This window comes from Homo sapiens, chromosome X, assembly GCF_000001405.40.
Source record: "Homo sapiens chromosome X, GRCh38.p14 Primary Assembly".
NCBI lineage: Eukaryota > Metazoa > Chordata > Mammalia > Primates > Hominidae > Homo > Homo sapiens.
In genome coordinates, this window is record NC_000023.11 from 103,817,604 (window position 1) to 103,834,821 (window position 17,218).

The following is a 17,218-nucleotide window of genomic DNA, read 5'->3' on the forward strand; positions in this document are numbered from 1 at the left end:
ATATATACTATATATATGCACACATATATATAAGTTTAGTCTATGGCGGAACACTAACCGGTCTTTATTGCCCCCTTGTGGTTGAAAGTGGAACTGTTTCTATCTCTGCATTTATATTTAACACAAGGCTTCAGAATAATCTGATTATTACAGCAGTAGACTCAATTCAAACCAGTCATTTGACATCATGCAATTAAAGCATCTGGATGAATGAATATTTTTTATTTCTAGCAATTCTTTTATCATGGTGACCAAAGCTTAGATTCATAACCTTTCTAAACAAAAGTAGTCTCGAGTATAATCAGAAACAAAGGACAAATCAAATAAGCACCTCTCTTTCCCCAACCCACCAGTTTTCTAATTTATCAGAACATAACCTTTTCTATAATATGGCAGTATATTTTTAAAATACCATAAACAAAATTAAAAGGCAAGATCTATGGGAGGGGATTGCAGAAAACTAGCAATGTGGATAAGATCAAAGGTTAATACCCACAATATAAAAAAAGATTTCCTTGGAATCAATAAGAAACAAAAATGAATGTTCCCCAACCCCCATAAGGGTCCATTCACTCAAGGAAAAATAAAAATGGCCAATGAATGTATAAACAATTACTCTCAAAAAATTAAATAAATGTAAATGACAGCATGAGATCATTTTTTCACCCATCAGACTGCACATATGGGGTTAAAAAGGAAGATAATAGTCCATACGTTTGGGTGTTGGAAAGATAGTCTTCCTCTTATTCTACTGGTGTTGATGTCATTTGGGATAAGTTTCTAGAGGCCAATTTGCCAGTATATATTAAAATTAATAAAAAATTCATAATCTTTGACCTAGAAATTTTACTAGTAGGAAATAAACAGAGGTGAGAGTTAAGATTGATATTAAGGAACTTCACTGATGCTTTATTTTATGAAAAGAAGGCAGCTGTAAAACAACCTAAATGTCTAGCAATAAGTGTTTTATTAAAAGTTTAGCAATATGGGTAATTGTGGTAAACCCTTCAATACAATATTATGCAAACAGCAAATATAATCTTAGAAGAATATATGTCTTAGAGAAAAGTTAAGTACTATAGATATATATTAAGTAAAAAAGATTACAGTGTGTGCAGTATCAAATCAATTTTAAAAATACATAAATATATTAAAATCTACACTAAAATGTTAAAATCTGCTTATCTCAGGTTAATAGGATTACATTACAGATGACTTTAATTTTTTAAATCTTGCTTTTCTATTTCTTTCATTACTTCATTTTTCTACGGTGGATGTGTATGGCTTTTGTAATCAGAAAAAAAGAACATTTTAAAGCATTTATCGGTCACTCTAAGTTTTCTAGCAGGGAACAAATGGAAAAAGAGAGAACTCAGAGGCTACTGGCACTTGTTCATCTATTAACAGACTCTATGTTGAGCAATATATTACAGGACACACCCTTGGATATGTCGTTTCTAAGGCAGCCAGGAACAACGTAAGAGAAAAGAGATGATATGAGCCTGTTTCTTGCTTCCTCATGAATGCACCACAGGAAAGTGTGATTTGTATTTTTACTCTAATCAATATAGCTAATGTTGAATTAAGAGCTATTTCTTTCATTAAGGCAGCATTTCCCAATTCTTTTTATCAATCAGTTAACTAGATGTGGCACAGCTTGGCAGGTCTGATTAAAATTCAGGAGTGTTATAGTGAGACCATTATACATTTACCCATAGTTCATACAGCACGAAAGGAACTGACAGATTACTTAAAAATACACATGCTTGCACACACAAAACCCACTGTTTAAAAAGACATTTATATATAACTGAATCATCATTCTCTGTGTTTCCTTGGAGAAGGCAAAGAGATTTATGAAGACACAAAGATCACTGCAGCAGTTTCTATATGACTACAGGTGACGACGCCACATCTTGAGCTGTGAAGATGCTTATTTTCACTGGGAAAATATTAAGTAACTTCTTGCCCCCTTAAAAAAAAACCCTTTCACACATTATTACCACTACCATCACTAGCAGAATAAGAGATCCTTGCTCACCAGTTTTGGCAAGCATATCAGTAAGAAGGCATTTAATAATTTTTCCTTTATTCCATAAACATGCCTAGCTTTTGTCATTATCCCTTCCTTCTCTTAAAGAGAAAGTAGTAAAGAATGAGAGCTCTTTTGGTGATGGAAACTTGAGGAAATTAAAATGACCAGTTTGGAAAAAGAAAACATTAGTGAATATCCCAAATCATGCACATTAACGTTTTATCAAAAGGTGTATGCTATGCTCTGAATCTTTTTGTCCCCCTCCAAAATTCATAGGTTGAAATCCTAACCCCCCAAGGTTATGGCATTATAAGGAGATGGGGCCTTTGGAAGGTGATTAGGTCACAAGGGTGAAGCCCTCATAAATGGGATTAGTGTCCTTATAAAAGAGGCCCAGGAGAAACCCCTTCCCCCTTCCACAGAGCTGGAAGGTGCCATCTGTGAACCAGAAATCAAGACCTCACCAGACCCTGAATGTGCGGATGCCTTGATTTTGGACTTCCTAGCCTCCAGAGCTGAGAAATGAAATTCTGTAGTTTATAGCCTACCAAGCTTATGGTATTTTGTTAGGGCAGCCCAAATGGGCTAAGACAGTATATTACAGTTTATCTGCCCTAAAATCAAGTGTAAGAAAAACACTGCACTGTAGTAAATTTTACATTTCCACAGCAAAGAGAGAAAAAAAGTGAAATGATTATCTAGATCACTGAGGAAAAAAAATTGCTGCAAGATCTACTTTGGGTAATTCAAATGAAAGTAGAGATGTCCATCCCACCTCCCAGCTTGAAATTACTCAAATTGATACCTCGATTTTCCAGTGTGTTTTAAAACTACAGTTACAAGATGGAAGACAAATTATGTATTCCACACCTTCCTGTTTCTGGAAGGACTATCGCCAAACCATTTCCAAAAAATGAGACCGTACTGTTTCTTAAGACATCATGAGGAGATTTCCCACTGGGTTATGAATGAGGCAGAAAAACATTAAAGACAGGAAGTTGGCATTCTGTTTTTAAAATATCAGTTATGGGCCCCGGTGCATTGGCTCACACCTGTAATCCCAGAACTTTGGGAGGCCAGGTGGGTGGATCACTTGAGGCCAGGAGTTCAAGACCAGCCTGGCCAACATGGTGAAGCCCTGTCTCTACAACAAATACAAAAATTAGCCAGGTGTGGTGGCGGGCGCCTGTAATCCCAGCTATTAGGGAGGCTGAGGCATGAGAATCGCTTGAGTCCGGGAGGCCGAGGTTGCAGTTAGCCAAGATCAGGCCACTGCACTCCAGCCTGGGCAACAGAGCAAGACCCTGTCTCAAACACACACACACACACACACACACACACACATACACACACACACACACACACACACACACACAAAGTTAGCTGGGCATGCTGGTGCATGCCTGTAATCCCAGCTACTCAGGAGGCTGAGGTGGAAGGACTGCTTAAGTTCAGGAGGTGGAGGTTGCAGTGAGCCAAGATCAGGCCACTACACTCTAGCCTGGGCAAAAGAGCGAGACCCTGTCTCAAAAAAAAAAATAATCAGTTACAAATGAGCAAATCCTTATTAAGTGGCTTATAAATCTATGACTTTCTATATTCTAAAAGTTGCATCATTATAGACTAGTCAAAATGATTTGGGGTGCTGCATTTGAAGCATGGTCTGATAATGTGTTAAATTATAATCCTCAGAGATGGAAATGGTACATGTGGCAAAAAAAAAAAAAAAAAATCTGTTTCCCAACAAATTCCCCACCCCCAATTTCAACTGCCCAAAGTTGCAACAGGCAAAAGTAGACAGAGAGAAGAGAGTGAAATCTGTGGCAGATGGAATCAATGTAATGAAACTATATATGCTGTGGAAAGATTTGTGTCCATAATTTTAAAACCGCCATTATGTATATTCAAGCCATTGGGTGCTAATGTATCTTTAAAATCCAATATGTGAGAGGCAAGAGAACAGAATATTTAACAAAATTATTCTTTGCTTTTCTTATTTGTTTCACCTATATTTTCATGTTTTCCTAAGGTCTGGACAATTCACCAGTCAGGAAAATAAAGGGAATATGTCTACTCTGTTTATATTTTTTGATGGTTTAACATTTATCTTATTTTTTATGCAACGTTGTTTATTATAATATTTTTTCTTTTATTTGTATAAATTTAGGGGGCACAAGTGCAGTTTTGTTATATGGGTATATTGCAGATTGAAATCTGGGCTTTTAGTGTACCCATCACCAGAATAGTGTACATTGTATCCATTAAGTAATGGTTTTAAATTATAATAAAGAAATAAAGTGGAAAGTTAAGATTCAATTTCCAGTCCCAATACACGTCATGCATTAGAAAGTGGTTAAACCCATGAGTTTGAGGCTGCTATGAGCCATGATTGCGCCACTGCACTCCAGCCTGAGCAATGGAGGGACCCTGTCTCTAATAACTAAATAAATAGAAAGAAAGTGGTATAAAATAAAAAGGACCTCCCTGCCCCAATCTTTAGAGTTTGCTTCACAATCAGTATAGAAATATCTGATCACTAGATAGTGGCTGCTTGGAGTACCACATGAAACATGATCCAGAGGCCACATCCAGTGCAGCCTGAAAGAGTGACTTGATTAATAAGTACTGTCCATCACACCCACCAATTTCTCAAAAAGAGAAAGGGAGGGAATAAACACAAACATTGTGTGCTGGTTATTCAAAATGCACTTTTTATTCACTTTAACACAGATGATTTTTTACAGTTGAAAGAAAATATTTGATACACAATTTTGAGTTTTTTTTAGCAGCACCTGCAACAAGAGGATTGTGGAATACCTCAGAATAAAGTAGAGATGGCTGGGGCAGGCACAAATTAACCTGATATTCATCAATCCACTGAAGACATATGGAATCTGAGGCCCCTGAAAGTTAGCCAATACATGACAATAAACTAAATAAATATTCTGTATGATGTTTTAACAGACCATTGAAAAACAGTATAGTCCTAATTAGAAATATATTATTCCAAAAATCTAGTGTTCTTTAAAAAAACACCTATTGAAAATATTACACTGCACATTCTAGGGTACACAGTCAATTTCTAAACCTATATGCACAGTTCTTGGTACTCACAGATTTCAGCCTTTGGTGTTTTTTAATCTTACCCAAACTGTATGTCAGCACCCCACTGAGTGTTGCTTACCCAAATGCCACTGTTTATGTCACTTAATGTTGAGTGCTTTCATTAAGATATTGAGTGGTAATTTGGTAGAAAACAATGGTATGGCTAAGAGGAAAGGGGCTCCAGCTGATGGGCCAATAAAATTAACACTTGTCTTAGATGGACAGGATGCCTATGAATCCGATACCCATGTAATTTTTTTTTTTTTACTCAAATGACCACATGCCACTCTAATAGAGACAAATACTTTTGTGAGTTGATAGAGGTCTTTATGATGAAGGCCTGAGATCTACAAATAGAAACTAGTATAAGCAGAGTGCAAGTAGAAAGAGAAGGCCCCAGGTCTCATGCACTTAAAAATAATTAGCATTTAACAGTTCTGACGTACAGATTTTCACCCTAACATGATTGTAGCAAAATGATCACAGAACTTGGAAACCAGTGTGGCTGGCTATAGGCATAGGCAGGATAGGGACCAGTACTTAAGAGCTGTGGGGTCCCAGTTCTGGCTTTGACTTCTGGCGTCAAAGTTAATTGAACAATGGTGTCAGGATTATATCTTAATTGGAAATATTGAGTATGACTGAGTTGAAATACTGTCCTCTTCTTTTCTATTTGGCCAATATGTCCCAGAGCTCTTAAAGCACAAAGGTCCTACATGTAAGTAAGGCTGATTCCATACGTGGCTACAATGGAGAGTTCTAGGCTGTATTCCTATGAAAGCTCCCACCCCCTTCCTGGCCTAGGTCTCTTTTTGGGGTAATTTCTGTCTGTCACTATTTTTATCATAGATGTTTTAAAGTACAGATTAAAATCTATGCAGGGTAAACAGATCAACCAACAAGAACCACACTGCATATTCATAATATAGTATATAACTGACAGTCATGGTAATCAAAAATTGTCAAACCATTTTTATATTTTAACATGGGAGCTTTAAGATGTTTTTTATCAGTCACATAAAGATTACTCAGAGCTCAAGAATTTTTCCTGCCACAGTGCAAAAGCAAAAGGAAGAGCTATGTAGTTGCTGTTAAAGATTGATCACAGAATGGTTTGAGAATTTTTAAAGTCCCTCTCCATAGTCTTAGCTGTTATCATCAGATAAATCTAACCACAGCATGGCACTGATGTAGTTTATATATTCATAGAACTTAGAGCCAGAAAGGACTTTATATTGAACATGTAGCCAGCACAGAAAATCTTTTTATGGTATTCTAACAGATGGTCATCCAGTGAATATTTTCAGAGGCAGGGAGCTCACTATTAAGGCAGTCCATTCCACTGTTGGACAACTCTGTTTATGGGAAATTCATTCTAACACTGGGTTAAGATCTGCTCTTCTGTCACTTTCAATGTCCTAATTAGGCTAGTTGAACATACAGTGCAACATATAAGAAACCAGTTCCTTCTTCTGCAATAAATATTTGAGTTAAGGAGCCTTGTGAGAAAAGTTCATTATCCCCCAATCTTTTATGAAGCCTTCTCCATGAGCCCAGCATGTTGGATCAAAGGACCATCTAAATGATGAGCAGAGAGCACTGCATCCAAATTCATATACTAAGCAGCATTGCTAAATTGGTAAGAGGTTGTCAGAGAAGCAACATCTCTATGCAGCAAAAGTAGACTTAGGAATTAAAAGCAGACCAACCATTTATTTGCAAAGGTGGTTGGCATATTTAAGCATAATCCATTCACTAGTATCCTATGACTTCAAACACAAGAAGTATAATCAATTGCCAGTGTCATTAGAGTATCTCTTATTGAGATGGGATTTTTTGAAAAGCTCAGATGGGAGCGAACCATACATAAGGATTTAAACAAGTCAGTGTATATCATTATACTTTTGCACTCCTAATCATTACAACTTCTTTAATTCAAGCCTAGGAATCCTTATTTGCATTATTATTTTTATTGTAATACAGCTCAAAGTCTGATTTTTTTCCCCTTTGGCAGAAATGTCAGAAACTGCTTGGCAAGAGTCTGATAGTGACATTTGTTAGTTGATTAATGGAACACTTTAAGAAATAGTTGTAGCTCTTTAACTCCTTCATGCAGCTGGGTTCTAGGTTTAAACTGTGATTTAAAAAATATTTAACTGTCTCAGGACTAAAATTTTCTGATATGTCCTGAGACACACAAGAAGGGGAAATAGCAGAAATCACGCAAAATACACTTGGCTTGATAGAGCTTCATTTTTTTTAATTTTTAATTTTTTTAAATCAATCTACACTTCAATTTGAAAGGCTCTGTTTCACAATCAGAACCTTGTCTCTTACCCTCTTGTGTGCGTGTGTGTGCACTCTTAGAGGGGCACAGTTATTCTTACACTACTGACTGATCAATTTGGGGCACATTTTTAAAAGGCTCCCTATCTTTAACAGCACGAAGACCCTGCTTTGGAGCCACTGTTCAAGTCAATGGTGTGACCCAACATGCAATGCTCCAGCTGTTCCTCTACAGCCAGCACCTGCCTGACAGCTTCTTCAAAGGCCACTGTCACATTAGTATCATCTTTGGCACTAGTTTCTAAATAAGGGTAATCCCCATTCTCCATGCACCAGGTTTGTGCCTCCTCAGTAGTCACTTGCCTATCCTCTTTGTCTACCTTGTTACCCAGAACTACAAAGGGGAAATGCTCAGGGTCCTTCACATCCGCATAGTAAATAAATTCTTTCTGCCAGTTACCAAGATTCTCGAAGCTCTGCCGATCATCCACGCTGAAGGTCAAGAGGCAGCAGTCTGCTCCCCTGTAGAAGGGTGTCCTAAGGCTCTTGAAACGTTCCTGCCCTGCAGTGTCCCAGATCTGGAGGGTTACAAAGCGTCCATCTACCTCCAGATCTCGATTTAAGAACTCTACCCCTATGGTGTGAAAAGCCTGGGAGTCAAATTTGTTGGTTACGTAACGGTTCATAAGCGAACTTTTCCCAACTCCACCATCACCCAAGAGAATGACCTTTAAGAGCAGGGATTTCCCACTCATTTTTGCAGCACCAGAAGGGAAGGAGTTTGTAACCAAGAGAACCTGAAAATAAAAGGAAAAGTAGGAGGGAAAACAGTTAAACCTGAAACTGAAATCAACTTCATAGCAAATTTCTCTGAATTATAAGGCCTTCTCATTCAACTTCTCTGATTTATGCTCATTAATTGATGTAGTACAGCAGAAGAAATAACACTAATTTTGCATAAGGGGAAAAATAGGTCTTGTTTTTCTGAGGTCTTTTGTTGTGCCAGGAAAATGGCTGAGTGCCATGGGTAAATGGACTAGCAGATGGTCCTGTAATTTGGTTCAGTTCTGACCCAATTCTAGGAGAGGAAGCCTAGAACAGGAATGCCACTCAAATGTGTGACAACTTTAGCTTCCGGTTTGGACAGTTCCAAACAATAGACAAATAGTATGAAATTGACTTGGGGTTTGAAGTCTGCTCCTGATGGATACAAAAATTACTGAGAAGAGAAAGCTACATAAACTGGATTCTTGATTCTGTCGGTAGAGGTCTGGGCCAGAATTAGACTGCACCCCAGAATTTGAAAGAGAGAACAAGGTTACGTTTCTTCAGGCATTTACCCCATTATACTTGCATTGATAGGAACACCCTCTCAAGTAAGGATCTTCTATATTTTTTTCTTCATGGAACAATGGCATTTAAGTTGATGACAATTGACTGATATCAATATAACAGCTGTCATGAAGGAAGGAAATCTTGAATAGCTTATTAGTTTTTGGATTCAGGTTTTAATTCCATAATAGCAACATTTGAAAACATACTGCAAAATTTAAAGTGCTAATATTTATACAGTACCCTACTTGTTACCTCCACAACATGTCTACACATGGAACACCTAGAATGTGTCTTAAAATAAAAAGATCAAATGCTTACTGAACAAATACTACCTTTTCCTATATTCTGTTAGGTACTTTCCCACTAGGTCTATTGTGGGAACTCAACGGTGATGAGGTTAATTGGATGATATTTATACAATAGACCCAAAGGGATGAAAACGAATCACTAATCGAAGGAGTGCATGCAAAACAGTTTCTGGAAGCACACACATTTGAATATAATTTTACAAAATTTAGTAGCCCTTAAAATGATTTTGGAATGCCTATGTACTAGCTATATATTTTTCTAAATATTCATTTTTAAGAGATCAAATATTAAAATATCCCAAATCCACAGTGTGCCCCCTTGAAATACCTACCCAGTGGGTTTTTGTCACAATTTAAATATTTTCCTTTTTTTCCTGTTGTTGTTTTATTCTTTCTTTTTAGGGTGCTATAAAACAGAATAGAAAACATTATTTTAAAAAAATCTATAATAAAATAACGTTAAGGCTCTATATAAAAATATATTCAAGTCAGAAAAAAAAAAAGAACCCACAGCAACCTCAAGTAACCTACAGAGGGTGCTTTTCAAAAATAAAAGTTCAAAATGCTACCTATGCTTAACATAAGCAAAATAATTTTATTCCAAGAACTTTAACTTATCCTAATTTGTAATTTATATAATTTTTTACATTTTATATTGTCTCTCAATTGAATTCTCCATTCAAAGTAAAAGCAAATTAAAGAAAGATGATATTCACAATAGATGACATTCAGGAAAAGGAAAGTACAGAGCAATCTAAGATATGCTGAAATCCTAAGTCGGAGATGAAACTTCTTCCTTTTATACCTACCAACGTTCCCATCTCCAAGAAAGTTGTTAGTGCACTCACCAGTCTGTCTCAAGGTTGTCTCTGCAATTGATTCCACATAATTAGAGAGCAGAAAAAAATTGTGTTTGTGGGCTTCCTGTTTACAATAAAGTATATTATCTTGGCTAATTATTTTATTAATTAGTTTAGGTCATTTTTCTTTTCTTTATTTATTTTTTAAATTTGAGACAAGGTCTCATTCTGTCACCCAGGCTGGAGTGCAGTGGTGCAGTCATGGCTCACTGCAGCCTCGACCTCCTGGGCTCAAGTAATCTTCCCACCTCAGCCTTCTGAGTAGCTGGGACTACGGGCATGCACCACCATGCCCGGCTAAGTTTTGTAGTTTTTGTAGAGATGGGGTTTCACCATGTTGCCCAGGTTGGTTTCAAACTCCTGGGTTCAAACGATCTGCCCACCTCATGTTCCCAAAGTGCTGGGTTCACAGGCGTGAGCCGCTGTACCTGGCAGTTCATCTGTCTTAAACACCAGTTTTAATATTTAGCTGGTGTTATTAAATTTAAATATACATTCATCTAATATTATAATTAATTATGGCAAGAATCTTATTTAAGCAGCATCAAGAGTACTGGTTTAAGAAGAAAAACAGTGCCTAGATCTGTGTAGTGTTATTTCTTACTGAGGAAGAACGAAGCTTTAAAAAAAAATCTGCTGCTTAATAATCACATGTTATTTTCTAAATATAGATAAAACTTATAATAAGGATTCATTAGATATCTAAATCAGTAATTATGAATTTAAATAATATCTCCTAAATGGATAGGCTTTATCCTCCTTCTTGGTTTATATACACTCTACAGAATTCTCAAGTTTCCTACAATTCCTAATTTTTGTCCTCTTTTTCCTGCTCCCAAATTGCTGTCTTTGGAATTAGCTCAAGTAACAAACATTTCTTTAAATGGAGATGAAACAAGTGTTAGCACACTTTTTTATTTTTTTATACTGGTCTGTAGGATAATTTTACAGAGCAAAACTCTTGAACTCTCATTTTGAAAAGCAACAGAAGTACAAACTTGGGCATGATTCTGATGGCTAGTATTAAGCGTCCAGGCCACACAAGCTTCCTTGAGTTCCTAGCAAACAGGCGTTCACATCATTAAAAGACTCACTGACCCTATTCTCCCAGTTGCAGATAAACTCAATAGACAGGTCAAGGACTGAGTGAATATGGAAACCAAATGCTCAGCTCCAGGAATAATGATGATGTATTAATAACTGTCTGAGATAATGCTGCAGTTGCTTGTGCATTCCCTATTTGGTTATGTGCACACATAACTTCTGGGCCTATAGGCTCTATGCCAAGGGAAAAAGAGGAAAAGCAATGTGGTTCAGTGTCAAGAGCACTGAGCTAGCTGGCAGTAATCAGGACACCAGGGTCTTCATCACTGTTACACCATTCATTTATTTTATGAACTTGGGCAGGTCATTTAATCTTTCTGTTTCAGTATCTTCTTACATAAAAATAGAGCAGATAATACCTGCCCTACTTAACAGGATTTTGGGGGAGAATGAAAAGCTTATGAAGTTTGCAAAGATTTGTAAGCATTTTTTGAAAAATTTGGTTTGAGATTTTTATTCCTCTGGCTCCTCCACCTCCTTTCATGCACTGGTGGGGGCCTTGTGGCTCAGTATTAACCCTTCTCAGAAAGGGCCTGCTAGTGAAAGTATAAGAATTCTTCCTTTTCTCTTTCTTCCATATTTGAGAATGCCTTGTTCCTCAACAAGCTTGAACATCTGCATATGGCACAGAATCTCAGCATTGAAGGGACCTTCAGGGTCTTCTGGTCCAATCTTGCTACTGATATTTGAGAAAACACTACAGTGCCTATTGTGTGTTGTGTCCTTACTAAGGAAACCCTCCACTCTCCTCTGCTGTCTCCAACTCCCATTTATTTTCTAGAAGTAAAAATGAATACAGTTTAGATTTGTCTCCTTGCCTTCATTCAATCCTGCTGATTTTCCCTTGAAGTATCATTTTCTAGTCCTGTGCTACCATCCTCATTTTGGCCCACAATTTCTCACATCTAATCTATTGTGAAAGTTCTTCTCTCCCTGCTTCTGGTGTCTCCCCACTCAATCTACTTTGCAAAGCTTCATCACTCAAACATCCATTGGATGTAGATACTGTTGGGAATTAATAAATGTTTAAGGCAAGGTCTTGCCCTCAGGGAGTTTACAAATTAACATGCAAGCTCAGGATCTCATTGTTTACAGTTGAAATAATGTCATTATACTGACTTATTTTGTTAACAAACTTTTCCTGTCTTTCTTACATGATCAATTTTAAATTCCTAGATAGTAAGCTCACTGTATACATCTTTGAAGCCCCTTCAGTGTGCAGCACCAGGATCCTCCATGGAGATAATAAATATTTGTTTACCAATTAAATGATTAGGTAGGTGCCCAGAATTAATGCCTCTGAATTGATGCCAAGGTACAATAGATCCATAGTTCTGTAAGATGCCAAAATACTATTATTTATAAGGTAACTAAAGAGCAGAAGTTATGAACTTGACTCGATCATTTTCTGGATGGGGAGTAATGGGAATTCCACCTGTTGAAAGTCAAGGGAAATGCTCCAGTTTTCCTCCCCCTACTCTCACATTTTAAAAATAAGTATATACATTTCCCCATTCCTACCCAAAACAAGAGCAGAATAATGATATCCAGTTGATGTTGTCGGTGGGTGCTGGCCTCTCCACAATCATTTATCATTGTTTGAAAATGAATGTCATGTCCTTTAGTACATACTTAAATTAAAAAGAACTAGCACAGTGTAAAAGCAAATGAAATCATTTTTTCCTCCCCCAGAATATGCCGGATTTAATCCAAACCTTTAAACAAGGTAACATTAAGCAGGCAAATGAATTCTTTGATAACACTAAATACGTAAATAGGAAAGTCAAATGACGTATGCATCCCTTATGGGTCCTCTGTCGGGCGAGCATTTGGACCAAAACGCTTATTCTGATTTTGATCCCATTCAGAGAAAGATCTGACTCTAACTGAGTAAAATATTCGAGAGACGCAATTCCCCTTTCCTACCCCCACAAACTCATTAATGAGCATGCTCTAAGGATAGTTTACTAACTTTTTTTTTTCCCATCAGGGTCTCAGTCTTGGAGAGTAAGGTGAATTAGGAATTTCCATAACCAATACTCCCCAGCTCTTTGTTCTTTAACACACTTGAAACCTTCTGAATCTGCAGTACCCACAAAGCCTTATTCAAATTATTGTATTTAGTTGGGAATGCTTAGAGGTGGGAGTGGAGGTGGGGGAGGAGGCAGTACAATGAAGAAAAAGAAGTTGAACCTTTGAAAATAGTACATTTTAGTATGATGATGGAGAGAAGAGAGGCAGAAAAGCAAATTCGCATCAGTTCAGTTGCCATGGAGTGGAATGATGCTCAAAATCAGTAGTGCAGATTGCTCGGAGGCAAGTCTTGAAAGGGATGTGTACTGCAGGGATCGATAGGGGAAGAGCAACTGGGGAGGGCTAGGCACTGGATGAGAGTGGCACTGTTGGAAGTCTGTACAGGGGAGGAGCCATGGTTGGACCTGTGGGGAAAGCCCATCTTGTGGCGACACACTGGTAAGGGCTACTCAACTCACTGTTGAATGCTGGCACAATAATTGGAAATATTGCACTGAAGAATTGGGCGCGGCTATATTTATGTAAAATTCAACACGGATGAGAAATGATTGAATGTTTGAGTGTGTTTCCAATACAACCCAATACTTGGCGTTGGTGCTGGTGGTGGGTGCTTCGTAGCGCGGAAACCCTCTGACGCACTGGATTCATTTTGCAGAGCTAACAAGTTATCAGCTACATCCATGCCGACTCCAAATGCCACAGCTGTCATGCCACTGAAACGCTATTCCTACATTCATGCCCACATTTATATCCTATATGCAACTCAAAGGGTCCAATGTGGAGTCCCACATCTAACCTTTCACTGCTCACAACGACAGCTCTAGGGCTATAAGCCCAAAGGCACACTAGATAGCAATCTGGCATCGTCCCCAGGACACTTCTTCCTCAGTAGACTGCCCAGGGACAGATAGGTAGATAAGGTTTGGATGACATCAAGCGAGCTGAACACAAGGAAAAAAAGCTTCCTTGGGAGACAAGAATGCTGGCATCTCTACGACAGGGGCACTGTTAGCATTACGGACCTAGAAAGTGAGATGTCACACATAGTCCCAACTACCTCCGACCCAGGTCCTCTCACCTCACCCCCAGCTCTTAGAGCTAGTCGGCTGTGGCGCATGCGCACTGAGCCACACCCGCTCCCCACGGAGCCCTGCGCCTCTCTGCTCGGCTCTGGCAGCAGCTCGGGATTACTCAGCAACGCCCCCCTGCACTGTCACCTGCCCCCGACTCCGACCTCGGGAGCGGCTCAGTCCCTTTTCTCAAGCTACGAGTGGTCCTGGGGATCAACTAGACTTTCCTTTCTCCCTCTTCTCACAGGCCCCCCACCTCCCGGCCTTCCGGGTCCTCCAGCCCCTAGCCCCTGTTCCTGCCCACGCACAGGCACCTTACCCAACACAATGGGAAGGAAACAGGAGAGGGCCGCGGGTGCCAGGCAGGTCAGCTCTGCGTGCCGGGAATCCGGCTCCTTAGAGTCACCGTCACTGCTCCTGCTGCCTCCTCGTCCTCAATGGGGCAGCAAGTGCGGCTTGGACCTCGGTGGCCTGACAGCTGCCGCTCGCGCCCGCCGCTGCCGCCGCGCAGCGTCTCGAGCCCGCGCCCGCGCCCGCCAGGGGAGGGGGCGGGGCCCGCGCCGCCTCCTCGTGCCCCTTTCTCGGCGGTGGGGACCCGGTGTAGCCGCCTCCCGCCCTCCATGTGGCAAGCGCTCCCTGGCTCGCCCACTCTTCTTTCATGCTCATCGTCCAACCCTGGTCTCCCTTGTCCTCCTTCTCCTCCCCTAGCCGATTAGTAGGCACAGCGGCAATAGACCGTCAAATATTGCTCTTCCACTTAGCTCCTCTGCAGCCTGGGCCTAAGCCCTCAAGCAGGGCTAGCCACTGCCCCACTTCCTGCAATTATCCTCTGATCTACCTCATTTATCCTAGCTCAAAATCCTTTAATTTTGCCAAGAGGGTAGTACATACACCCTCTTGTTTCAAATAACTCAGGAAAACACATGATCACAACACATTGCTAGGCCCTCTAACTGGCTACAGCTTATGAAATTTTCAGGCAATTAAAAAAAATGTCCACATCTGTAGCGCAGGCATAGAGGACACACTGCCCTTTACTCTTACCAGATACAGTTCTAGAGGGCCACACAGGGGGCATTACTTGAATTTCCCGGAATTGCTGCTGGGGCAGAATTTGATGTTTTAATTGTGCCTAGCCGACCAGCTAGTCTCTTTTTGTTGTTTTCTGTAGCCCTCTGGTACTTCCAACTAGTTTGTGATTTTCCCCCTGGAATTGAAGAAGGACAAAGCTCCTGAGGTCATTTAGCCTGCACTCCACCTCTCTGTCAGGCAGCTCCATCTCTGAAGCTTCCCCATTGCCCGAAACCCTGTGACCTTGTGGCACAGGCCCTCACTCATCTCATGACCCCGTCCAGGCCCTCACACATACCCGCTACTTCCATCTAGGCCACTCTTCCTCTGTCTCTTGACAAGGCAATCGTGCAATCAATCTCCGCAGGCCCCAGCTTAAATGTCACTTCTCAGGATAACCTTTCTCGATAATCTCAGAATAGAGATGGTGCCCCAGTTTATACTCTTGTAGCCTCCTGTAACTTGCTGTATTTTTCCTTCATAACACTTACCCATTTTTGGTGGTACATTTAAGTGTATGATTATTTGGTTGACAGCTGTCTTCCCTACTAAACTATAGTGGGGAAGGACTATGAGGTCAAGGACAACGTTTGTGTTCACCACCGTATGCACAGAGCCTAGGGCAATGCTTGCTGCATAGGACATGCTCAGAAAATATTTGCTGAATATGAATGAATGCTGTATCACTAATAGTTGTTATATTTAAATAAAATAAATTGATGTAACTGAATCTCATGTGCTCCTATTTAAACCAACCCCGTTCCCCACACATACACTCTAAAACACTCTTCTGATGAAGACGAGATTCACACAATCCTCTAAATCAAATTTTCCGCATACATTTTAGTCTATTAAAAAACTATTGAGCATGGGCCCCAACATATGTATAAGGATTTATAGATTATATACATGTACTACTGTACATGTATACATTACACATTACTTTAAACATACATTTTAATGAGTAAACATTAAAATACTCCACAGAAATTTTAAAAGAATGAGAAAAATAAATATATTGATGTTCCAATGTTTTCTTTTTGCACCTCAATAAATAGTTTTGTGAAATGCTTTAAATAACAGTCCTTCATATTAGAGTAACTCGTCTTTAGGTGTAACAATCTAGACTACTTTTTCATTTTCTCATAGATGCCATTTTCCAACAGTTTAAAAATCTCTGAGAAACCCCCAAACCAACTGGCAAGTTTTAAGGATCTTTTAGTTTCTAAGCTACCTCGTTCTGTAGTCAGGATCTCACAACTGCTGAAAGCACCACACGTTTAGTGAATGTTGGAACACCTAAAGGTAAGAAAAATCCTTTGTTAGACCAAAGATTCCTACATGTAAATCCTATATTAAAAGAGTCTCTAGAGGCCACTTAAAAAGCAGCTACTATTATCTTTCTAGAATGGAAGCAACATGACTAACACTAGTTGTGAGGGATCAGCAAAAATGGACAGCACGAAGATTCAAAGTAACAGCTGTGGATGGTTTTGTGGCTCTCAGATGGGACTATTCCCAATGGTCAATCATTGAGATCTGTCAAATAGTGTCCTTCACACACAATAAAAATTCTATTTTTATAACACAGTTACACACACACACACACACACACAATAGAATCATAGTGTAGTCGGTAGATAGAAGGCCAAACCAAGATTGCGTTTGGATACCAGAGATAGGGTTACCTTCAGAGTCACACACACACACACACACACACACACACATACGCTCTTCAACATTCAATGAACAAGATCTCCCAAAGTCTCATCCTGATCAGTTTGAAATACATTGACCTGAGCTTCAGGAAGACATAATTGTAATGTGATTAATTTAAAAGAACAGCCTGGTCCAGCAGTCACAAGTTGTTATGTACAAGAGGGTTCCGTGAAGCATTCAAATAAGTGTATAAACACTGCATACTATTTCCCTTCCAGAAGAGTCACGTTGCATATTAAAACATTAACGTCTCTTGGAGTCCTGAAGTAAAGAAATCTGTTGTGTTGTTTT

General features: G+C 39.3%; 1 protein-coding gene across 3 annotated transcripts in view; it reads right to left on the reverse strand.

The window, feature by feature from the left end:
• RAB9B (RAB9B, member RAS oncogene family) overlaps positions 1–14,654 on the reverse strand; it is a 55,934-nt gene extending 41,280 nt beyond the window's left edge. For 2 of the 3 annotated variants that reach the window (NR_146558.2, NR_146560.2), the window contains exon 1: positions 14,457–14,654. Coding sequence is in view for 1 of the 3 variants with exons in the window: in NM_016370.4 (NP_057454.1) it covers positions 7,576–8,181 (606 nt within the window). In the remaining 2 variants the exon portion in view is untranslated. Of the gene's footprint in view, positions 1–4,723; positions 8,224–9,401; positions 9,476–14,456 lie in introns of those variants that run through there. The other variant, NM_016370.4, reaches the window with a different exon arrangement.